This window comes from Homo sapiens, chromosome 16 (genome assembly GCF_000001405.40).
Source record: "Homo sapiens chromosome 16, GRCh38.p14 Primary Assembly".
NCBI classification, from domain to species: Eukaryota; Metazoa; Chordata; class Mammalia; order Primates; family Hominidae; genus Homo; species Homo sapiens.
The window spans coordinates 71,863,994-71,888,692 of NC_000016.10; the positions used below are offsets into that span (position 1 = coordinate 71,863,994).

Below are 24,699 nucleotides of genomic sequence, written 5' to 3' on the forward strand. Positions count from 1 at the left end.
AGCCTCCCTAAGACGAATCTTAATAGAAGTGACAACCCAAGACTCCTTCAGGAGCCAGAGAGAGACAAAGGCCAAACCAGGATCTGGGCTACAGACAAGCTGCCCACACTTGTGTTCCAGAGCACACAGCTCCCCCATCCATACCTGGTACACGTGAGCAATCAACTGCTCCCGGCTCCCGCAGTCTAGCTGGCAGAGGGGACACTGGCAGAGTTCAAGCAAGGGGTCAGAATTCAAATTCCCTGTGACCTGTGATTCAACAAATAGGCAACTCATTAGGACTCTTTACTCATCTCTTCCCTGCCCCAGCTTTTTAAACAGGGTATCCTGTTAAAAGGAACCCAGACTGATGGCGCATGTTATTCTTAGCTTCCCTTTGTGGGCTGAAGGAAAAAGTAATAGTTGAGAGGGAATTATGGCTTTCAGCCATGAGGACACAGGATTGCCTCAGAGAGAGCCAATCAATTTTTTTCCCTGAAGATAAACTCTGCAGACAGGGGTAGCGTTTTTCCTGTCATGTTCCTTTCAGGAATCCTCAGGAAACAAGTTAGTGAGAAGGTGGCACTCCAGGTGACACCTTGACTTAGATTTGCAAGCACATTCAAGAGTCCACCTTGGGAAGTCAGCTTTCTACTTCAACAAAGTTTCTCTCATGTCTGGAAAGACGTGGGGAGCTGCAGGAAAGAGAGCTGTGCACAGGCGCAGCGATTCGTGGATGGAAAAGGAAAACTGAGTGTGGCGAGAACTGAGAGTCTGAGGTGTGGGTTCTGGTGCCATGAAGGAAGAGGCCTCCCATGCAGGCCCAGGAGACCATCAGAGGCAAGACTGTGCCACAGGGGTGAGCAGCATCAGGGCAGGCAGAAGGGTAGGGCATTGCTGGACCTGGACCCAGGGGCCATCGTCACTTGCCTCGTGCTCTACCACTTCGTTCCCACCAACAGGCTGTTCTGTATTTTCTAACTCTTTCTCCACTTTGACCACCCCTCCATCTTCCTCTGATGTGTGGGAAGAGACTTCATCTTGTGTCGTCTCCTCTTCATCACCCTCACTGTCACCTGGAACACACAAACTGGTCACTTGTTCTGATTTTTGCATGAATACATCCTGAGCTGCTCTCCACCCTAGAGTTGGCAGTTACAATAGAAAACATTTTCAGATCTTCCATAATATAGTTTATATAGTTTTGTTGGGTACATATTATGTCAAGTGGAAACCAACTATAGCTGTCATTTGTTATGCCATATACACGTAAAGGGAAGATGTGAAGCAAAACTGCATTGGAAATGGTTATCGTGCCCTCTACATGATTATAAAAATAATCTTTCTGACTCATGGTTTTCAAATATCTCACACTTCAAATCACACCTCCCCAAGCACCTTACACTGAGCTCATTCCCACTGTACACCACCTCTGACTTACCAACACTTTCCACTGATTTTGCCATGAGCCCCCTGCACAACTTCTCCACGGTGTCACTATACTATTCTACTCTGAACCCCACTAATCTCTTCTTTCCCAGCAAACCTCAAGGCACACTTACAGAAACATCAAGTTTTTCTTCCCTCTTACCAGCAATGGAAGCAGTAGTAAATGAGTTTGAAATGATGTCACTTTATAGGGAAAGGGCTGCTCATTACAGTGGAAAAATTAGCACAGCAACCAACCTCAGGCACTTTGCAGTGGTATCCGACTCACTCGGTTCTTACTCTACTATTGTAACATGGCATTCTAAACTAAGTAAGTCCATTGTTTCTGTTGATTATTTGGATTATCTCAATGGGTAACCGAATGCATTAAGTGGAAGGAACGGGCCATTCTTTAGGATGAAATGTAATTTCTTGTGACTAACATAGGAATTGAGTTTGTTTTAGTTTTAGGGGTAGGATGTGGCTATGAGGAGGTCTGCCTGTGGCTGGGGAGTCTGCAAGGTTTATGTGAGCTGATTTTTCTTCTCTATTACTTATAAAATAGAAAATGAAAACAGATCAGAAAAACAAATAACGAACGTAGTTCTTTCTGAAAGGGAAAAAATAAAGTGCTAGTACCTTGAAGATCACAAGAAGTAGCCAAGCCTAGGGAAGCTGTCACACTCCAGCCCTATCTTAACCCCACCTGGATCCTGGACTTCTGGGCCTGATGTGAGCAAGAGAGAAATATAGGGCAGAGTCTCACCAGGCTGTCCGCAGGAAACTCAGATTTCCTAGCTAACAGTGTGCCTGTCTTCTCTACTACCCTTGCATAATATCTAAATCCACCAGTATGAGAGCAACATATTTCCCTTCTTCCTGGGCAAAACTAGTTATATTCCCTTTCTTCATGAGAAGGTCTAACCAAATCATCTGCTAGTAGTTACATGTGTCCTTATTAGATAAATACTCCAGGCAACTGGTGGACTGGATTTGGGGCCTGGAAAGAGCTATGGTTTGTGTGTCTTATTTCCCAGCCCAAAGCTCCTTTCATTTGAATCCAACTCAATAATGAAGGATTGGCACAGATTACATCATACCATGTTTTCTCCCCAGCTTATCTGAAATACTTGTAAACTTTATATAATATAAAGTGATATATCAAACATATTTTTGTAATTTTGCAATAATCCAAATATATCTCGCTACTAGAAAAATTTTTTAAAAATGTGTACTGTCTAGAGGGATAGTACATCCTTCAGAATGGAAAACTATTAGATGTTTGCAGATATTGTAATTCCCACCTGCTACTCAAGAAAGTGGTGGCTTCCATAGGTTTTCCAGACATGTTTGGGTTCATTTTTTTGTGCCCGAGCAATTAATTGCTAAGTTATTTTATGTTGTTGATGTTGCTTAATTATTAGCTTGGGTGGAAACAAGTTCCTAGAAGGTTGCAGAGTCCTCTCTCCATTTTCACCCAACCCAGCCTCAAATGTGGTGAAAAATTGGAAAAGTCATTCTGAATTCATACTAATAATAACCAATATCAAATGGATGAGGTGGGGAAAGTGCTGAAATCTTCCTAGGAAAACACATCTCAAGACGTGTTTGTTCAGACAGGTCACAGGACAGACAGACAATCCATGAGGCTCAACTTGTAACAGCTACTGTCGTAACCACAGGGATCTTCTTAGGGAATTGGTATGGGAAGACCTTGACGTTAGCATTTTATACACTGCATAACCTCATTACTAAGCAAATCTTCTTGTTTAACATTAAAACTGGGCCTTCAAGCAAGGTTTCATTAATGCCACCCTTATATTTTATTGATTACAAATACATAGATCCTAGGAGACAGGGATTTTTTTTCTTTTCATTTGACCTAACCCAGGGACTGCTTGAGCACTATTTATTCCTATATCCTTGCCTATCACAACCAACAAACCTATCTGTATGTGGCACTGTGCCAAGTACTGTAGTCCATAAGTTAAAAATATATATATCGGCCAGGTGCAGTGGCTCACGCCTATAATCCCAGCACTTTGGGAGGCCGAGGTGAGTGGATCGCCTGAGGTCAGGAGTTCGATACCAGCCTGACCAACATGGAGAAACCCCGTCTCTACTAAAAATACAAAATTAGCTGGGCATGGTGGTGTATGCCTGTAATCCCAGCTACTCAGGAGGCTGAGGCAGGAGAATCGCTTGAACCTGGGAGGTGGAGGTTGCAGTGAGCTGAGATCATGCCAATGCACTCCAGCCTGGGCAACAAGAGCGAAACTCTGTCACAAAAAAAAAAAAGTATATATATATAAATAAAATGCCAAACCTGTCCTCTTTTTCTGGATAAACACATGCCCACACACCTTAGACCACCTTTGGGGACACTGAGGATCCACATATCTCCTTTTTCATGTCTTTCTCCCAACCCCCATGCACAATCCCCAGAGCACACACACTCTGATAATTCTTCTCCCATTGCCCTGAGTCATTACCAGAAGGTGCAGAACTCACTGCTACTGGAGTCCTGATCTCTTAGTTGTTGGATAGCTTGTCGCTGACTGCCAAGGTCTCCAGGAAAATCAGTTTTCATCATCGCCTGGCGGGCTTGCTCTTCTAGCCCAGCAAATACTTGATCCCCTGGTGGTCACAAGGAAAAATAGTCAGGCCACCAGCTGGGCAGCATATCCCCAGGCAAGCTGGTTGGAAGGTCAGACCATTCAAAGGTAGGAGACAGGCAGGTACCCTGTGGTGGAGTCATTCATCTCCAAGTCAGCTTGCTGCCTCCAACAGCTTCTGGGTGCAGCTGCTCTTCCTGGGCAGTAAGCCAGATGCTCTAGACAGCATCACTTGCTCCTCTTAAATCCTCCTAGTCTTGACTCCTTTCAAAAGGTGATCAACTGCTACTTCACAAATGTAACTGCAGACTCTCAAATCCATTTACAACCTTCCATCAGGATTGGGAAGATAGAGGCAAGAAGGGGCAAAGTGATGGGATGAAGACAGGGCAACAAATCTGGGCCAAGTCTCTGTACCTTAATGTATTAGCATTATGGTCTTGACTCAGTGTCTTATCTCTGACTATAAACAAGTGCTTCAAATCATCCTTCTAAATAACAATCTCTCTAACCCCATCTTTCATCCACTCTTCTTCCAAAACGTACCCTGGAAGTTCTTCCTTGACTTTCTTTATAATGTTTATCATAATTAGCCATGAGAAAATTAACAACTGGTTGAATAGTGGACTAGAAGAAGAATGGATATGAACTCACTTCTGCAGAAGAACAAACTTCCTGAAACACACTGCTAATTTACAACAAATAATATTCATGTAGTCTTCTTGGTCCAGTTTTTTTTTTTTTGAGAGAGAGTCTCACTCTGTCACCCAGGCTGGAGTACAGTGCTGGCACCCGCCTCCATGCCCAGCTAATTTTTTTGTATTTTTTAGTAGAGACGGGGTTTCACCGTGTTAGCCAGGATGGTCTCTATCTCCTGACCTCATGATCCGCCCGCCTCGGCCTCCCAAAGTGCTGGGATTACAGGCGTGAGCCACCATGCCTGGCCAGTCCAGTTTTTTTTTAAATGTAGTACCCCAAGGCCCCAGGCCTATCCTTGATTTTGCATTTACTTCTCATGAACTCTGCTTGGGATCCATGAGGCTACTGAAGAGTTAGTATACTAAGTGCCCTTTTATTTCCAGGAGACCAGGCATAAGGAGAAAAGAGAGTTGGGTTTCTTGAGGTTTCTATTATCTCAGTCAGAGTAGAAACTACAGTCCTCATTCACCAGACAGCAAGAGGGAATAATAAAAAGCCCTAGTGAAATGTCTGACAATAGCCAGGCCCTTTCCTGCTGAAGATAGAAAGGAAAGTACGCAGGCATACAGGCTCAGGTTCTGAGATAGGATACAGTGATGTGGGAGGAACTAAATGGTGAGCTGACCTGCACTCCTAGACCTTGGGCAGTGAAAGACTTGATGTGGAGTAGGCTTCATGTGATCCCCTTAGTCATTCATTCAGCAAACATTCATTGGGCATCTATTATATGCCAGCTACCAAACACTAATAATAGTTTGACACTTGCAAGCTCCAGGCTCTATGGTGTTTTGTAGTTATCACCTCACCTTAATTCTCTGCAAAACTCCGTGTGGTAGGGATTACTATCTATATTTACTTAGGAGAAAACTAAGGTTAACGGTGGAACCAAGTATTCAAACCCACATCTAACTCTAATGTCCTTTTTCTTTTTTTTTCTTTTTGAGACAGGGTCTCATTCTCTCCTCCAGGCTAGAGTGCAGTGGTGTGATCATGGCTTACTCCAGTCTCAACCTCGCAGTCTCAAGCAATCCTCCCACCTCAGCTTCCAGAGTAGCTGGGACTACAGGTGTGCACCATCATGCCTGGCAATATTTTTATTTTTTGTATAGACAGGGTCTCACTGTGTTGTCCAGGCTGATCTGCAACTCCTGCTCTCAAGGGATCCCCCTACCTCGACCTCCTAAAGTGTTGGAATTACAGGTGTGAGTCACTGCGCCCAGCCTAATGTCTATATTCCTTAACTGCCTTCTAATAGAGATGTAATTAGAAGGTTAGAAGCTTCCTCAGATGGTTTTGCTGAAAACAAACTCTTATCTCTGTGTGAGAACGGCTCTGATCCTAGTGTTAGTGTTTCCTTCATACCATGAGAAATGGATACATACAACTCAAATAGCAAAATTATGTTATCAGGGCCAGTATATGATCAAAAGACAAATGATGGTTCTGATACCACATCATGAGTTATCATGCTTGGATTACAGTAACTAACATTATGGCTATTATGACTCATACTGTGATTGGGAATGGAGGTGGTTCATGTTAAAGTCTACTCTTAGCTACATATCCCTCAAGGAAAGGAAAAATAAGCTGTTTTAAGTCCATCTTCACAATATCCAAGATGACACATTGGATATAAATTACTGGGTAGAGAAAACAAAAAAAAAAAATGAATTTGATGGGGGAATACTTCCTTGTCCCTTTGCAGAAGTGAAATACTTAATTTCTCCATGCTGGTTACACTGCACCAGGACCAGGGCCAATTGGTACTTTCCTTTTTTTTTTTTTTTTTAATATGAGACAAGAGTCTCAGGCTGGAGTGCAGTGGCGTGATCTTGGCTCACTGCAGCCTCTGCTTCCTGTGTTCAAGAGATTCTCCTGCCTTAGCCTCCTGAGTAGCAGGGATTACAAGTGCCCAGTACCACGCCTGGCTAATTTTTGTATTTTTAGTAGAGATGGGGTTTCACCATGTTGGCCAGGCTGGTCTTGAACTCCTGACCTCAAGTGATCCTCCCGCCTCGGCCTCCCAAAGTGCTGGGATTACAAGCATGAGCCACTGTGCCTGGCCAAGGGCCAACTGTAATAGTTATTGAATTCTTTCGGGTAGGTGCATGTTTTCAGACCTAGGAGCTATGGGCAGACATAGCACTAAGGAACAAGTTATGTACTAGCATATAATTATCAAGGGGAAGACCTTTCTCATCAGTGATACTTCTGGTCTCCAAAGAAACTTAGAAACCAGCTAGATTTAGAACATACTAAGAATAAACATTCTATCCTCTTTCTTGGATTCACCATTGGATTAGTAAAAAGACACCTAAAAGGATATGTACCTTTCAAGATGAGTCAGTAATTCAGTTTCGTCTCCAACTTGAGCTCAAAAGTTATTTTTTTCTATTGATGTTGTCTAAATATTGAGGCTTTCATGGAAAGAGAGAGAGTCTGTTCAACACAACTTGCCTATCTAGGACTCTTAGGCAATCTCACCTGGTGTAACCGGGAGAAGTTAATTCTGTCATTCCTTTTTGGCAATTTGGAAAGAAAAGCTTGTGTTCTTATATTTTAGTCTATTCCTGACTTGGGAAAAAGAATAAAGGTGAACTTTATTCCTCAGAACTATTCCTATTTTAAATATCACCATAAAGCAAAATATATCAAAACCATAAAAAAGAAGCAATTTTAGCAGACCTCATAAGAAAAGATATGTGAATTATCTTCCAGTAGTTACTATTTACCTAATCTCCAAATAAAATTGTCCAGAATTATCCCTTCATAAGAAGGCAGTGAGACTTGCTAAAAGCATGTCATGTTAACTGCCGTATAATGTCTAATGTGATCTATGGAGATACTAGTGATTAAGAAGTGTTACAGAACTGCCTATTTTTATAATATTAGAATTATTATTCCCTTCTGTCTTGAGACCTCTGGAGTAGGTTTAAAAAAATCCTCTGGTCCCTAGATATTAATGTAGGGCAGCCATCTTATTTAATATGTGTATTTATTTGTCTATTAATAGCTAAGAGTCAACTACACTCTCACAATAAAAACCAAGGTGTTCTCTCTCCTTTTATTTTTGGATACAAAATCAAGAAAATACTGTTTGTCTGCAATTTGGCTAAGGTTTTTTTTTTTTTTTGAAACAGAGTTTTTCGCTCTGTCACCCAGGCTGGAGTGCAATGGCGCAATCTCGGCTCACTGCCACCTCCGCCTCCTGAGTTCAAGCGATTCTCCTGCCTCAACTTCCCAAGTAGTTGGGATTACAGGCAAGCACCACCACGCCTGGCTAATTTTGTATTTTTAGTAGAGACGGGGTTTCTCCATGTTGGTCAGGCTGGTCTCGAACTCCCAACCTCAGGTGATCCACCCACCTTGGCCTCCCAAAGTGGTGGGATTACAGGAGTGAGCCACTGCGCCCGGCCTGGTTAAGGTTTTTCAGACCAGATGAGAACAAGGCCATGTAAGCAAGTTTGGAGAACAGATGAGAGGAATGAGATGAAAGTTATTAGAAAGGTAAAGATTTTACAGTTCTCTCTTGGGTCCTTGGTGCAGTTAAACAAATGTAATTTCAAGCTGACTACAATTAAGTAAAGCAGCTGGAACATTCTTTAAGAGAGCAGATAGGCCGGGCGCGGTGGCTCACGCCTGTAATCCCAGTACTTTGGAAGGCCAAGGTGGGTAGATCATGAGGTCAGGAGATCGAGACCATCCTGGCTAACACAGTGAAACCCCGTCTCTACTAAAAATACAAAAACATTAGCCGGCGTGGTGGCAGGCGCCTGTAGTCCCAGCTACTCGGGAGGCTGAGGCAGGAGAATGGAGTGAACTCAGGAGGTGGAGCTTGCAGTGAGCCGAGATCACGCCACTGCACTCCAGCCTGGGCGACAGAGCGAGACTCCGTCTCAAAAAAAAGAAAAAAAAGAGAGCAGATATCCAGTTCAGGAAAAATGAGCTAGTATTGGGAGTGAGGAGCTTAGGATTCCATCTCTAGCTGACAGTCTTTGTAATCCACGGTGCTATCCAAAGTGGGGAACATAGCCATTTACTTCACGAGGATGCTAACAGAATAAATAAAAACTAAGCAAGTTGTGCTTTTTATAAGAGAAAGGACTTCAAAGGCTTTTATTCCTCCTTCTCTTTGTAAAGCTTTTAGTTGAAGTTGAAAGTTTTAAGTCACTCATGTGTTTTACAATCTGAAAGCAAAAGTCTCTCAAGTAAAAGAGGTTTTCATTTGCTTAGTGGTTTGGTTAGTTCAAACACACTAAATGAAAGTGTACAACACACTGTATTTTCAACCTTTCTACAAGTAGTTGACAGAAATGTGTACTCAGGGCTGGGCGAGGTGGCTCATGCCTGTAATCCCAGTACTTTGGGAGGCTGAGGTGGGCAGATCACTTGAGATCAGGAGTTTGAGACCACCCTGGCCAACATGGCATAACCCTGTCTCTACTAAAAATACAAAAATTAGCTGGGCATGGTGATGAACGCAAGTAATCCCTGCTACTTGGGAGGCTGAGGCAGGAGAATTGCCTGAACCTGGGAGGCGGAGGTTGCAGTGAGCCAAGATCATGCCACTGCACTCTAGCCTGGGCGACTGAGCAGGATGCTGTCTCAAAAAAAAAAAAACTGTACTCAGAAGGGGTAAAATGGGGAAGGAGGTAGGGAGAAGGTCTAACACAGATTTCAGCCCGTCAGCAGTTTTTCCATAACTAATAACAATTTTGGGCTTTTATTCCAAAAGCTCTGTAACGAGTCTGTTAATGAAGTGAAGTGGGCAAAATACAAGAGTCTAACTAGATATTTCTGAGGAAAGGATCATGCCAGTGATTTAGACATAAAAACAGTCCTGATAAAAACCCAGCAAGTGCCAAAGCAGCTGCCCACTGGCTTCTAATGTGGATCCATCAAATGTTGCTGGGTTACAGCAGTGGGATTCTTTTTTAAAAATATATATATATTTTTTGAGATAGGGTTTTGGTCTGTCACCCAGGCTGGAGTGCAGTGGTGCAATCATAGCTCATTGCAGCCTTGGACTCCCAGGCTCAAACAATCCTCTCACCTCAACCTCCTAAAGTATTGGGATTACAGGCATGAGCACTGTGCCTGGCTAATTTTTAAATTTTTTGTAGAAATCAGGTCCCACTATGTTGCCCAAGCTGGTCTCGAACTCCTGGCCTCAAGCAATTCTCCTGTCTCAGACTCCCAAAGTGCTGAGATTACAGGTGTGAGCGACCACGCCCGGCTGGAATTTTTTTTTTTTTTTTTTTGAGATGGAGTTTTGCTCTTGTTGCCCAGGCTGGAGTGCAATGGCGCGACCTTGGCTCACTGCAACCTCCATCTCCCAGGTCAGAGCGATTTTCCTGCCTTAGCCTCCCGAGTAGCTGGGATTACAGGCACCCGCCACCATGCCCAGCTAATTTTTGTATTTTTTTTAGTAGAGGCAGGGTTTCACCATGTTGGCCAGGCTGGTCTTGAACTCCTGACCTCAGGTGATCCACCCGCCTCGGCCTCCCAAAGTGCTGGGATTACAGGCATGAGCCACTGAGCCCGACCTGGGAATTCTTAATATATCCCTTTAGGTGGCCTATTAGTTTCATGCCACACAATCTTCGTCTTCCCAGAAGGCAGATCTAATGAAGCTCAGCCGTTACTCTGCTCAAGTGTCAATTAACTTTTATATTTAAGCAAAGCTTAATGCAGACTTTCCTGCCCCCCAGACCTTGAGTCCATTTCATTTACTTTATTTTGTGTATTTATTTTTTTGAGACCAAGTCTCATTCTGTCGTCCAGGCTGGAGTCCAGTGGCGTGATCTCGGCTCACTGCAACCTTTGCCTCCTGGGTTCAAGCAATCCTCCTGCCTCAGCCCCCCAAGTAGCTAGGATTACAGGCGTGTGTCACCATGCCCAGCTATTTTTTTGGATTTTAGTGGAGACAGGGTTTTGCCATGTTGGCCAGGCTGGTCTTGAATTCCTGACCTCAAGTGATCTGCCTGCCTCGGCCTCCAAAAGTGCTGAGATGACAGGTATGAGCCACCACGCTAGGCCCCATTTCATTTACTTTTAATAGACAAGCAGCATTAAATTAAATATATTTAGTTGGTTCTATTTCACTGCAAGGTGATAGGAGACTCACATGGTCAGAAAATGAAATTACCTATTTCTACTTGCCACTATTGCCATACGCAATGAAAAGATGATCTTTTGAAAAGGGTAGGGTCAGCTTCAGTTCCCAAATAACAAATAAATAGAAGGTCCTCTGAAACTAGCAAATCTCAGTTTTTCTTTTTTAGTCAAGCTTAGTGTATCACCTGAGAAGCCTTCATGGCTCCCTGACCAAATGCATGACTGAAAACAGCCCCTCCCTGGGGGTCTGCTCTTTAGTTGTAGCTGAACATCTGTGCTCACAGCCCCGCAGTAAAGGCCCTTGTAATGGCCACCTCCACAGAGCCTGCAAAGTCCCACCTACTCCACCTCAAAACAATGTTCTTTCGCTTGACTCTGTAACTTCATTTATGCAACTGTGGATGTGTGATATTCTCCTCACCTCCATGGCCTGTTTTTCCATCTGTTTTTCTTTTTTTCCTTTTTTTTGAGATGGAGTCTCACTCCGTCGCCCAGGCTGGAGTGCAGTGGTGTGATCTTGGCTCACTGCAACCTCTGCTTCCCAGGCTCAAGTGATTCTCCCGTGTTAGTCTCCTGAGTAGCTGGGATTATAGGCGTGCGCCACCATGCCCAGCTAATTTTTTTCTTTTTTTTTTTTTTTGAGACGGAGTCTTGCTCTGTCACCCAGGCTGGAGCGCAGTGGTGCGATCTCGGCTCACTGCAAGCTCCACCTCCCAGGTTCACACCATTCTCCTGCCTCAGTCTCCCGAGTAGCTGGGATTACAGGCACCCACCACCACGCCCGGCTAATTTTTTGTTTGTTTTGTATTTTTAGTAGAGACGGGGTTACACCGTGTTAGCCAGGATGGTCTCGATCTCCTGACCTCGTGATCCGCCGGCCTCGCCCTCCCGAAGTGCTGGGATTACAGGCGTGAGCCACCACGCCTGGCGCTAATTTTTATATTTTTAGTAGAGACAGGGTTTCACCATGTTGTCCAGGGTGGTCTCAAACTCCTGACCTCAGGTGATCCGCCCACCTTGGCCTCCCAAAGTGCTGGGATTACAAGCGTGAGCTATCACGCCTAGCCTCCATCTATTTTTCAACTCCATTAATAGCTCATCTTGGCTTTGACTATGGTGCAGGGAGATGCAGCTTATGGATATATGCTACGTGGGCATAGACATTGGCCACACAAGCCTGAAGTGGCTCCCCTGGCCTTACTACAATCACACCATCACCCCACCAGCTACTTTCCTCAAATCTAAGCAGGCTCTTGGACAGATGGCTTTTGTAGGTGAACACCCAACTCCTATACTTGCCTTGTTTGTGAACCTATCATTTCTACTAAGAGTACCTTTCCAGATGCCTTCTTGGGGTCACACTTGTGTCTTTTTATTTATTTATTTTTTTGAGACGGGGTCTTGCTCTGTTGCCCAGGCTAGAGTGCAGTGGCACTATCTCGGCTCACTGCAACCTCTGCCTCCCGAGTTCAAGTGATTCTCCTGCCTCAGCCTCCCGAGTAGCTGGGATTACAGGCACCCGCCACTGCACCCGGCTAATTTTTGTATTTTTAGTAGAGATGGGGTTTCAACATCTTGGCCAGGCTGGTCTCAAACTCCTGACCTCATGATCCACCTCCTGCCTCGGCCTCCCAAAGTGCTGGGATTACAGGCGTGCACCACCTGTGCCCGGCCACTTGTGTCTTTTATCAACCAGAGAGGAGAAACAATCCTAAACCCCTGTGATGGATGGCCTATGCTAAAATACTTCATTTTTTTCTTTCTCTTTTTCTTTTTTTGTTTTTGGAGACAGGATCTCACTCCGACGCTCAGGCTGGAGTGCAGTGGCATGATCTCAGCTCTCTCAGCTCACTGCAGCCTCGACCTTTTGGGTTCAAGCGATCCTCCCACCTCTGTCTCCCAAGTAGCTGGCGCTACAGGTGTGTGCCACCTCGCCCAGCTAATTTTTGTATTTTTGGTACAGATGGAGTTTTGCCTTGTTGCCCATGCTGCACTCAAACTCCTGGCCTCAAGTTATCCTGCACTGGCCTCCCAAAGTGTTGGGATTACAGGCATGAGCCACCGAGCTCGGCTAAAGATACTTCATTTTATCTTCCTTGACAATCCTCACGTGCAAGCCCACTGCATTTTGCTGTTTTAGCAGCAATTTCTAAATCTTCCCTAAACCACTCATCTGTGTATTAAGTAGCCTTTGCACACCCCCATTCCAGAATATACTCCTAGAAGCATCCAACTCGTTCCGTTTTACACTTTTCCGGGACTTAAATAGAAGAAAGAATTTTATATGGAGGTTTGCTATTGTAATCTCATTAATGTATAAAATGTCAAAACCCTCTTAATTCCTCTGTTTATACTATTTTGTCTTCTACTCTTGAAGTAACCCAGTAAGATTCAGATAAAGTGCATAGTGCCTGGGATATAGTTTTTTGGTTTTTGTTTGTTTGTTTGAGACGGGGTCTCACTCTGGCACCCAGACTGGAGTGCAGTGGCATAATCTTGGCTCACTGCAGCCTCAACTTCCCAGGCTCCAGCCATCCTCCCACCTCAGCCTTCTGAGTAGCTGGGACTATAGATGTATGCCCCCAGGCCTAGTTTTTTTGTATTTTTTTGAAAAAACGGGGTTTTGCCATGTTGCTCAGGCTGGTCTCGAACTCTTGGGCTCATGCAATCCTCCTGCCTTGGCCTCCCAAAGTGTTGGGATTACAGTGGTGAGCCACTGCGCCCAGCCTATATAGCATGTTTTTAAGAAATTTTAGTTATCTTGTCAATTACTTGACTAATCTGTCCTCTCCAATGTAGGGTTTTAGCCAGCTGCAGTGGCTCATGCCTATAATCCCAGCACTTTGGGAGGCTGAGGTGGGTAGGTCACTTGAGCTCAGGAGTTCAAGACCAGCCTGGGCAACATGGTGAAACCCCGTCTCTACAAAAAATACAAATATTTAGCCGGGCGTGGTGGCATGCACCTGTAGTCCCAGCTACTCGGGAGGCTGAGGTGGGAGGATCGCTTGAGCCCAGGAGGTCGAGGTTGCAGTGAGCTGAGATCACGCCACTGCACTCCAGCCTGGGCAACAGAGCAACACCTCATCTCAAAAAAAAATTATATATATTATATAAAAAAATAAAATATATATAAATATATATGTATATATATTTTATATATATATACACACATATATAGGTTTTTTGTTTTTTACAAACTTTTCATCTGTTATACCTCTGAATTCTCTTCAAATGTTGCTGCACTTTACTCAAACAGTTCATAATAATAGGGAACTATTTGTCTTTTTTTTTTTTTTTTTGATGGAGTCTATGTTTGCCCAGGCTGGAGTCAGTGACACGATCTTGGCTCACTGCAACCTCCACCTCCCAGGTTCAAGTGATTCTCCTGCCTCAGCCTCCCAAGTAGAGTAGCTGGGATTATAGGTGCCTGCCACCATGCCTGGTTAATTTTTTTTGTATTTTTAGTGGAGATGAGTTTTTTGCCACGTTGGCCAGACTGGTCTCCAACTCCTTACCCCAGGTGATATGGCCCACCTCGGCCTCCCAAAGTGCTGGGATTACAGGTGCAAGCCACCGCGCCCGGCCACTATTTGTCTTTTTAACGAACATTTGGGTGGGAACGATTATCTTCCCAGATAATAGGAAAATGGCTAATTATCTCAAATCTGTGTAGATATTAATGTCAATTTAAGAAGGCACTTTTTGAACACCTTCTATGAGTAGTGCTAGAAGTAAAGAGGATACATAAGGAAATACATATGGCACATAGTCTCTGCCTTCTAGAAGTTTACTATGCAATTACTGAAATAAAATATGCAACAGGTGCGGTGGCTCATGCCTGTAATCCCAGCACTTTGGGAGCCCGAGGTGGCCAGATCACCTGAGGTCAGGAGTTCAAGGCCAGCCTCGCCAACATGGTGAAACCCTGTCTCTACTAAAAATACAAAAAAATTAGCTGGGCATGGTGGCGAGCACCTTAATCCCAGCTACTCGGCAGGTTGCAGCAGGAGAATTGCTTGAAGCCAGGAGGCCGATGTTGCAGAGATCACACTGCTACACTCCAGCCTGGGTGACAGAGCGAGACTCTGTCTCAAAAAAAAAAAAAAAAGCAAAGAAAAACATGCATGTGACACTGTTGAAAACAACACAAGGTAATAGTGTATACTTGGCCTTCTGGTTTCTAGCCTCTCCCTCTTGTGATCCATCCCACAAATTGCTTCATAGTACCAAAACGCTGTATTCTAAATGTCACTCCCCTCTCCCTGCTTAAAAACCTTCAGTAGTTCCCTACGGACTATAGAATGAACTTTGAACTTGGCCTGGCATTCAGCCTTCCACGTGTAGAGTTAAGCATCTCTAACCTCACATCTTCTGACTTTTGAACAAATGAGACCTCTGCTTCATATAAAGTCTCCTTGTCCTCTGAACATGTGGATTCCCGCTTCTGTCTTTGCTCACTTCACTTTCCCTACCTGATGTTCCCTCTCCCTGCCTCTTGTTTTTTAATTTTTTTTTTCAAATCCATTTTCTACCCTCTAAGGCCCAGTTCAGGCGCATGGTCTAGAGGCTTTTCCATTAAGCATTCCCCTTGCTACTTCAGTCCACTGAGCTCTTTTAACTTCCTTCCTCCGAACTTCTCTAGTACATACAGTCTGCAGCATCTGTTTGGCAATTAGCATATACTATCATTCATATTTATATATCTGAGGTTACAATACGGTCTTATAGATCTTATATTGGTTTAGAGCCCTGACATCTAGCACAAGGATCTGCAGAGAGTAGGTATCCTATAACTGTTTGTTAATGTGATATTAAAGATATATCAAGTGTACATACCCCTAAGATAGGTTTCCAACACCTCCCCCAGCAACCAGACACACTTTAAATCCACCATTTCCAACATTTTTAACCCTTTTTCTTTCTTTCTTTTTTTCTCTTCTGCTCAGCAAACTGTGTTTTACATTTAAACTTTTCTTCTTCACAAATTAGCGTGAGCTTCTCCCCTAAATTCAGGTTACTCTTCCATTCCACCCCTTAGCATTCCCAGGTTCCAGAAGACAAAGCCCGATACTCACAGTGAACTTTATTTGGATTTGTCTGTTTCCGACGGGACATGTTTCCCTGATGCAAGAGCTCTGGTCTTTCCCAGTTTCACGACTGGATATGTTACTACCTCCTTGCAAGATGCTAACCTGCAATAAAAAAGGTTATTGTTAGCACATGTCATTTTCCCCAGCAGTTACACAAAATTTAAAGATAAAATGTCCTTAAAAAACAGCTCCTGAGCATATAAAACTCACCAGTTATAAATAATTGAACTAATGAAAGAAAGAAAGAAATGAATAAATCTCTAGCCTAACGTCAAGGTCCCAGAAAGTTTAAGAGGGGACTCCCTCAGAGGACTTAGAGAATTATACTCTAAATCCATCTTTGGAATCCAGAATACTGTTAAGTGATCATGATCAAGGTCACAGGATAAAAGAGGAAGTAAAACTCAGGCATCCAGGGTTAGAAGTACTGTGGGCTCAAGGGGATAACTCCGATGAATTGCAAAAGGAAGCAAAAGGAAGCCAAAGAGGGTGGCAGCTCACATGTCACATGCCCACTGGAAGTCAAGCCCTGCAGTCTACACCAGCGGATTTTTCATGATGTTATCTTGCCTAGAGGTAGCAAAGGCATCACATCCCTGCGAGACAGAAAATGTCTCAAATAGGCATCTGTAAATGAGAACAGCATGGGAAATAAAGCCTCTATCTGGTGATACAGGCGCAATGCTATGCTGCACTGTGAATGACATGGCACTAAGCAAATCAAACTTCTAATGTTGAAGATGGGCTCTCACCAGAAGAGACAGATGCCATCCACATTGATGAGTACTAATTCAACACCCCAGTGTGGAATACCACCTGGCCCTCCTCACACATTCCAGAGAGGTGGTCAAAGTTAATAACTTTAGAGGCTCTTCTCAATCTAGCCTCTGGGTAGCAAAGAGAACAGTGGGAGGAATAAAGAGAAAAGTTCCCCAAACGAAAAATGCTGCCAAGACATGCATCTGCTCCCCACCCCATATAGGAGGGGATATATACGTAAGCCTGAAGGTTCCTGATTAACTACAGAAAGAGTGCCCCAGCCTTAAGCATTGTTAGAGAATCTGAGATGGATTAGTATTGATAGCTGTGTCATTTTCTTAGAAAGAGTGAATAAAGACATAGAATAAAAAGGGATTGTCTTTCCTACCAAAGACAGGAATATGGATCTGGTCACACTCTTAAGTTTTCTTTCAGTTCCTGCCTTCTTGAGTTATACTCACATTGAATAAGCAAACATAAAATCATAGTTTATTGCCTTAAGAGGAGTTATGGGAGACTACTGCTAGCTATATTTTGTACTCCAGTTAATGAAGACTCACCTCCTGTTATGCCAACTAACTCCTCTATGTAGCTAGAAGGACCTCAAACCTATAATCAGATCCTGCCTCCCCTTACCAAAAGAATAAAGAAACCGCAAATGGCAAAGACAGGCCTCCACAGGAAGTGGCAAAGGAAGCAGCTTTCAGGCAGTCTTCTAGCATATCTGCATATCAAACACAGTTCTTTTTCAGACCTTTAATTAAAAACAAAACAAAACAAAACTCTAAATGTATACAATAAAAATCAATTTAAACTATTTAGAGGGCAATATACTGAGTGCTGATAGTGTATGTTCTCTAAGTTTTGTGTATGTCATTTTTTTCTAATCAAGTAGTTGTTTTATTCACGGAAGCAGTGAATGAATATCACACTTTGGATTTCCTATATGTGTGTGGAATCACCAAGTGGAAAGGTAATGAAATGCAGGCTCTATTAATATTTTTAAAAATATGGCCAGGCACCGTGGCTCACGCCTGTAATCCCAACACTTTGGGAGGCCAAGGCAGGCAGATCACTTGAGGCCAGGAGTTTGAGACCAGCCTGGCCAATATGGGGAAACCTCTAATAAAAATACAAAAATTAGCTGGGCATGGTGGTGCACACCTGTAAATTCCAGCTACTCGGGAAGCTGAGGCATGAGAATCGCTTGAACCTGGGGAGGGGAGGTTGCAGTGAGCTGGGATGGAGGCACTACACTGCAGCTTGGGCAACAGAGTGAGACTCCATCTCAAAAAAAGATAAAAAACTGCCATGGGCGGTGGCTCTCGCCTGTAATCCCAGCACTTTGGGAGGCTGAGGCGGGTGGATCACCTGAGGTCGGGAGTTTGAGAACAGCCTGGCCAACATGGTGAAACCCCGTCTGTACTAAAAATACAAAAACTAGCTGGGCGTGGTGATGCATGTCTGTAATCTCAGCTACTCAGGAGGTTGAGGCAGGGAATTGCTTGAACCCGGGAGGCGGAGGTTGCAGTGAGCCAAGAACGCACCACTGCACTCCAGCCTGGGCGACAGAACGAGACTCCGTCTCAAAAAAAAAAAAAAAAGATAAATAAAAATTTAAAAAAATAAAATATACTCCTCTAATGTGATAATCTATTGAGGCTAAATATATATATACTCTATTATAGAAGAAAAAACAGAATCTTGACTAATTTTTATATTTTCTCCCTTCAAGATCAGAAACTGAAACTGTAAGATAAAGGTAATAAAGTCCCTTCTGAAGGAAGGCCAAATAATTTGAACCAGACAACATTTCAATATTAAAGCTCCAAGTCAAAAGACAGAGATGAGTGTCTGCGTATTTAAATCAGCAATGCCCGCTGCATCTTATAATCCTCCTAGTGGCCAAATGGGGAACTGACCAGATGGTACCCAATGGGACTTCACACCTGAGTGATCAAGAGAAAAATAAGCAATTACAGTCCCCTCCCACACAACGAAACGAAAATAATAACAAAAACACCCACAAAAACAGGCCTGTGGGGTCATGGGCTGTTGAAAATCAATAAGTAAATAAATAAATGGCGCTGAAAGGACACTCTTGACCACAAAGCAAGATCTCAGAGGCCAGATGACTTGTTTTATAGGCAGTTAAAGCTAATAAAACCCAGAGACATACAGCCCTAAAGGTCACTCATTTTGTTTTACTTTTAACACTGCCTCAATTTCCAAGCCAAAACCTGAAACCAAACCAAACCAAAAATGTAAATAGATAGCTGCCTGAACATGGGCTGGGAAGACAGGTAAACGGTGAGATTCAGGTCTAAAGGGATTCCATTTTAAAAGGAAAGCAGTTCTGTCTGTCTTCAGAGCAAGGTTAAGAGTCCTCGGGAAGGTGCAACGTCTCCCCTGAACACTGTCTCTGCTCTCCCACAGGTATTAGGTTGCAGCGTCTAGGGCACACCACAGACTTTGGCAAGAAAAAAAACGAGTGAAATCTCAGCTTGATGAAAAGAGAGTGCGTTCCCACCTCCAGCTCTGGTGCAGTTCCCACGGAGCAAAGCAAACTCGACTGAATCCAAGTGATCTGTATCTGCCAAAAAGGAGAGGACAAGAAAGCTGGTCACTTAGCCGCCTGGCTGTTCACCTGACCCCTGGGGTTGGGTCTGGGGCGTGTCTAATCAGCCGAGATGGTCCCTCTGCTTCTTCAAGCATGAGCCCAGGTAAATTCCCAGGAATTACCAGACAAGAGCCTGACAAGAGCCGGAGGTCTTCCGAGGCGGCTCAGACAAACCCTTAGACAACACAATCTCCGAAATCTAAATTTAGAAGCTTTTCTGCGAGACCCAGACGCGGGGACTGATACCCCCCGGTCTGCACGCCCACGCCCATCCTCCCCTCCCCCAGCTCCACCCAAGGCTGTCAGACGCCGGGGCCGTCCCCGCCGGGGCCCGAGGAGGCGGGGTGCCCGCGGCCCGCGCAAAAGCCCCCCGGCCCCGCACCCCGCGCCCCGCGCCCGAGAGCGCCAAGGGGCAGCAGGAGGAGCGGCCGGGGAGGAATTGGGGTTGGAAGCGGGGAGGGTGAGCCCGGGCTGCCCCCCTAGGCCGGAGCTGGCCCCCGGCCCTCTCCCCAGTGCAGACAAAAGGACCAACAGCCGGCGGCCGCGAGGGGGCGAGGAGCCCGCATCCCCAGCCCGGACCCGGAGGGAGGGCAGGGGGTCTTTTTACCCGGCGCCTCGGCGCTGCGCTGCGCTCTGGGTCCCTGGGCCCCGCCTCCGGACAGACGGACCGCCGGACAATGGACCCGGGACCGCAGCCCAAGCCAGCCGGGCCGGGGCGCTCCGGGACTGGGCCCCGGCGAGCGGAAGGGGCTCCGGGCCGAGCCGAGCCGGTGGCGGGGAGCCGAGGGGCGGCGCTGCAGACGGACAAAGCCAACAGCAGACAGACAGACGGAGGGGGAAAAAGATGGCGACGCGGGCGGCGGGAGCGCGCGGCTCGCGCACCCGCAGCTAGTGAGGCGCGTGCACGAGCCTCCCTCTCCCCCTCCCCCGCGCCGGCCAGGTCCCCTTCCCCGCGGCCCGGCGCGCGCCTGGCGTTGTGGGCGGGGCCTGAGGAGAGGGGCTCTGGAGAGGAGGGGCTCCGGGGAGCGCCCAATCCCGGGCGCCCGAGAGGGGCTCGCCCGCGTTCCAGGGCTCCGGAACCCCCCGCCTCGCCCATTCCCGGGTCTTTCTCTGGCTGTCTCAGCCGCTCAGCTCCCCCAGACCTTCCTGGACGTGTAAACGCCACCCTACCCAGCCCCGATCCTGGTTTCTTACCCCACCATCGAGTTCAGCCACAAAACCCACAACCCCCAACCACAGCTCCGCCGCAGGCACCCCCTCTCCTTAGCCCGGATCCCCACCACCGTCACAAACCCTCTTCGCCTCATTCCCCCACGCTTCGCGGTGGCTTCGGCTCCCGAGGCTTTGAATGTGACCACGGGCCTTGGTGGGAGGGGCCAAGTTCAGCTGTCAGAACCTCAGAGCTGGGAAATCTTGAGATTTCTTTTGAGTATTTAATTTTCTGACATGATTCTCAACTGATAAAATAACATTGGCTGCAGACCCAGGGGCAGGGGAACTTGTGGCACTGTTGTCACTTGAGGGATGTTTGGGGGCAATGGAGAGCCGTTGGACCTTTTTTTTTTTTTTTTTTTTGAGACAGAGTCTCGCTCTGTCACCCAGGCTGCAATGCAATGGCGCGATCTTCGCTCACTGCAACCTGCGCCTCCCAGGTTCAAGCGATTCTCGTGCTTCAGCCTCCCGAGTAGCTGGGACTACAGGCGTGCACCACCACGCCCAGCTAATTTTTGTATTTTTAGTAGACGGGGTTTCACCATGTTGGCCAGGCTGGTCCCGAACTCCTGACCTCAGGTGATCCTCCCGCCTCGGCCTCTCAAAGTGCTGGGATTACAGGCGTAAGCCACTGTGCCCGGCCTGGTTGGACGCACTTCTAGTCAAACACCTCCTCCTGTCCACGTCCTTCTCTCTCCTAGTTCCTGTTGCCTTCTTTTCTTCCTCTCTTCTAGAATGCCTGAGCCTGCCCTGGCATCGCTTACCTGGAGAAGCAGGGAATGCAGAGGAAAGAAGATGAGATCTGGTATTAGAAGATCTGGCTTTGAGCCCCAGCTCTGCCACCCACCAGCCTGTTGACTTTGGGCAAGTCACTTCCCTGTTCTGAGCCTCTGCTTCCTAAGATGTCAAATGGATAATGATGCAATAATTCCTGGCCTTTACTCTCCGAGGGTTGTTGTGCCAGTTAAGTAAAACAAATGGCTAAAAGCATCATGCAAATGTTTTTCGTGATTACTGGCTGCACAAAGGCAGGGCTAACGAGGATGCTGTCATTTGCTGATAAAGTGACAAGTCCTGGTATTTGCATAGAACATTCTTGCAAATTGTCTTTCCCCTAAATCTTTTATGAGATGATCTCATTGTCTGCATCTTGTGTTCAATGTAATAGAATGATTACATTGAGGGATCTTGGTCCTTCACAATTCTGTGATAAATAGCTCATTCATCATTCACTCATTTATTTATTGTGATTAGGATACTTAGATAGCAATTATTGTTGTTTAACTTCAGTCAAGGAAACATTTTAATTTCATTTAAAAACTTAGTTTCCAAGTAGACAGAAAATGGAATATTATCATCCAACCCGCAAGTGTTTGTACTATTTTGTGTAAGAATACAACCTAGAATACACACTGGCTTTTATATTTAACAGTAATTCTTGATCAGTTTGGACTGAGGGATACAAGTATGGCTTTATTATGTCACTTTAAAGCTGACTTAGTTGACATTTTCAACAGAAAAGTAGCAAACAGGTAAAGTTTGCCTCCAGTGAAATTTCTTGGATGCATTATTATTATGTAATGTTGGGCAGCTTATTCCATCTCCTTGACTTCCAAATAAAATGAGATGATAATAATGCTATTCTTATGACTTCCCTGTGCTCTAAAAATTTCTCAGAGGTGTTGTGATTCAAGGTTACAACCAAATAATGAAAAAATTATTAAATACGTAATTAGTTTAAGTTAGGCATGGTGGCTGGCACCTATAGTCCCAGCTACTCAGGAGGCTGAGATGGTATGATGACTTGAGCCCAAGTGTTTGAGGCCAGCTTGGGCCACATAGTGAAACCCTTGTCTCTTTAAAAAAGAAGAATTAATTTATTTTTCCTCTGCTTTCACCTAAACTTGTTCTACATCTAGAAGACCTTTTAATTAACCATATATATTTTTTTAGCTTCACTTTTTTCTACTTTCCCAATCTACTCACAGTTATGTCATCATTTTGCCACTTCAACTATTTAACTTTCCACTTGAAATATCTTCCTAATCCATTTTATATTTGTTGGCTTCTACAATGACCTTGTTAGGGCTCTATATTCCAACAATAAAGGTAGGAGGATTTTAAGAACCTCATGTTACATTTTTTTAAATTAAGGTATAATTCACATACCATGAAACTCATGCTTTTAAAGTGTACAATTCAGTGGGTTTTGGTACATTCACAGGGTTGACAACATCACTAGTATCTAATTCCGGAATATTTTCATCACCCCAAAAAGAAATCCCATACCCAGTAGCAGTAACTCACCATTCTCCCTTCCTCCAGCTCCTGGCACCCACAAATCTACTTTCTGTCTGTGTGGATTTGCCTATTCTGGACATTTCATATAAATGTGATTGATTATACAGTATGGGACCTCTCGTGTCTGGCTTTTGTCACTTAATCTGGCTTTTGTCACTTAATAGGTTTTCAAGGTTCATTCATGTTGTAGCATATATCAGTACTTAATTCCTTTTTATGGCTGAATTATATTCTGTTGTATGGATATGCCACATTTTATTTATCCATTCATTAGTGGAACGATATTTGGCTTGGGCCTACTTTTTGGCTACTATGCATAATGCTACTATGAACATTTGTGTACAGTTTTTGTGTAAACATATGTCTTTACATTATGTATGGACATGGGTGCATACATATATCTAAGAGTGGAATTGCTTGGTCAAATGGTAACTCTATATTCAACCTTTTTTTTTTTTTTTTTTGAGACCGAGTCTTGCTCTGTCGCCCAGGCTGGAGTGCAGTGGCGCGATCTCGGCTCATTGCAAGCTCCACCTCCTGAGTTCACGCCATTCTCCTGCCTCAGCCTCCCAAGCAGCTGGGACTACAGGTGCCCGCCACCACGCCCGGCTAATTTTTTTTGTATTTTTAGTAGAGACGAGGTTTCACCGTGTTAGCCAGGATGGTCTTGATCTCCTGACCTCGTGATCCGCCCGCCTCGGCCTCCCAAAGTGCTGGGATTACAGGCGTGAGCCATCGCGCGCAGCCCTCTGTGTTCAACTTTTTGAGGAAGTGCTAAACTGTTTTCCTAAGTGGCTGCACCATTTTATATTCCTATCAGCAACATATGGTGTTTCCAATTTCTGCACAACCTGGTCAACATTTGTTATTGTTTGTCTTTGACATTAATGGCCACCCTAGTGGATATAAAGTCATATCTCATTGTGATTTTAATTTGCATTTCTCTAATGACTAAGGATGTTGAATATTTTTTCATGTGCTTATTATTGACCATTTGGAGAATGTCTATTCAAATCCTTTGCCTATTTTTAAATTGAGTTGTCTTTTTTTTTTTTTTTTTGGAATCAGGGTCTCACTCTGTTGCCCAGGCTGGAGTGCAGCACAGTGGTATGATCACAGCTCACTGCAGCATTGACCTCCCTGAGCTCAGGTGATCATCCCACCTCAGCCTCCCGAGTAGCTGGGACTACTGGCATGCCCTTACAGGCACACGCCACCACACCTGAATAATTTTTGTATTTTTTGTAGAGACGGGGTCTCACCATGTTGCTCAGGCTGGTCTGGAACACCTAGGCTCAAGCAATCTCCCCGCCTCAGCCTCCCAAAGTGCTGGGATTACAGGCATGAACCACTGCGCCTGGCCTAAAATTTATTTTTATTTATTTGGTATCCCAAATAAAAATAATATTTATTTTTATTTATTTGGTCACGGCACATAGTGTCCTTTGAAGCACAAAGTTTTTGATTTATATGAAGTCTAATTTATTTTTTCCTTCATTGCTTGTGGTTTGGATGCCATGTCTACGAAACTATCACCGCCTAGTCATGAAAATTTACACCTATGTTTTCTCTTAGGAGTTTTTTAGCTCCTACATTTAGGTCTTCACTCCATTTTGAGTTAGTTTTTGCATATGGTGTGAGGCCGGGGTGGGGGGCAATTTTATTCTTTTGCATGCAGTTATCCAGTTTTCTTAGCACCATTTGTTGTAAAGACTGTTCTTTCCCCCTTTGAATTGTCTTGGTATCCTTGTTGAGAATCAATTGGTTATAAATGCATGGGTTTATTTCTGGACTCTCAGTTCTATTCCATTGACCTATATGCCTATCCTTATGCCACTATCATACAGTCTTGATAAAAATCTGATATTTTAAAGGACAA

General features: G+C 44.7%; 1 protein-coding gene across 21 annotated transcripts in view, besides 4 other annotated features; it reads right to left on the reverse strand.

The window, feature by feature from the left end:
- Positions 1-24,699, reverse strand: part of ZNF821 (zinc finger protein 821) — a 35,577-nt gene that overhangs the window by 4,314 nt on the left and 6,564 nt on the right. Inside the window, exons 1-7 of one of the 21 annotated variants that reach the window (NM_001376298.1) lie at positions 19,915-20,189; positions 19,218-19,280; positions 17,324-17,441; positions 15,914-16,030; positions 3,919-4,044; positions 910-1,055; positions 145-249 (exon numbers count right to left, since the gene is read on the reverse strand). In NM_001376298.1, coding sequence (NP_001363227.1) covers positions 145-249; positions 910-1,055; positions 3,919-4,044; positions 15,914-15,953 — 417 coding nt within the window. In that variant the 5' untranslated portion in view covers positions 15,954-16,030; positions 17,324-17,441; positions 19,218-19,280; positions 19,915-20,189. Of the gene's footprint in view, positions 1-144; positions 250-909; positions 1,056-2,046; positions 2,135-3,899; positions 4,045-15,913; positions 16,031-16,429; positions 16,484-17,323; positions 17,442-19,217; positions 19,549-19,914; positions 20,198-20,600; positions 20,664-21,175; positions 21,284-24,699 lie in introns of those variants that run through there. The other 20 variants (XM_047434342.1, NM_001201556.1, NM_001376297.1 and 17 more) reach the window with 20 other exon arrangements.
- Positions 19,015-19,214: an enhancer, noted in NCBI's record as "active region_11085". NCBI's record gives its function as "activates an Ori minimal core promoter by ATAC-STARR-seq in GM12878 lymphoblastoid cells {active_cell/tissue: GM12878}" and the evidence as "EXISTENCE:reporter gene assay evidence [ECO:0000049][PMID:35858748]".
- Positions 19,575-19,694: a silencer, noted in NCBI's record as "silent region_7686". NCBI's record gives its function as "represses an Ori minimal core promoter by ATAC-STARR-seq in GM12878 lymphoblastoid cells {active_cell/tissue: GM12878}" and the evidence as "EXISTENCE:reporter gene assay evidence [ECO:0000049][PMID:35858748]".
- Positions 19,715-20,474: a silencer, noted in NCBI's record as "silent region_7687". NCBI's record gives its function as "represses an Ori minimal core promoter by ATAC-STARR-seq in GM12878 lymphoblastoid cells {active_cell/tissue: GM12878}" and the evidence as "EXISTENCE:reporter gene assay evidence [ECO:0000049][PMID:35858748]".
- Positions 21,055-21,555: an enhancer, noted in NCBI's record as "H3K4me1 hESC enhancer chr16:71918951-71919451 (GRCh37/hg19 assembly coordinates)". NCBI's record gives its function as "activates a minimal SCP1, AML or CMV promoter by ChIP-STARR-seq in naive H9 embryonic stem cells {active_cell/tissue: H9 hESC(naive)}" and the evidence as "EXISTENCE:reporter gene assay evidence [ECO:0000049][PMID:30033119]".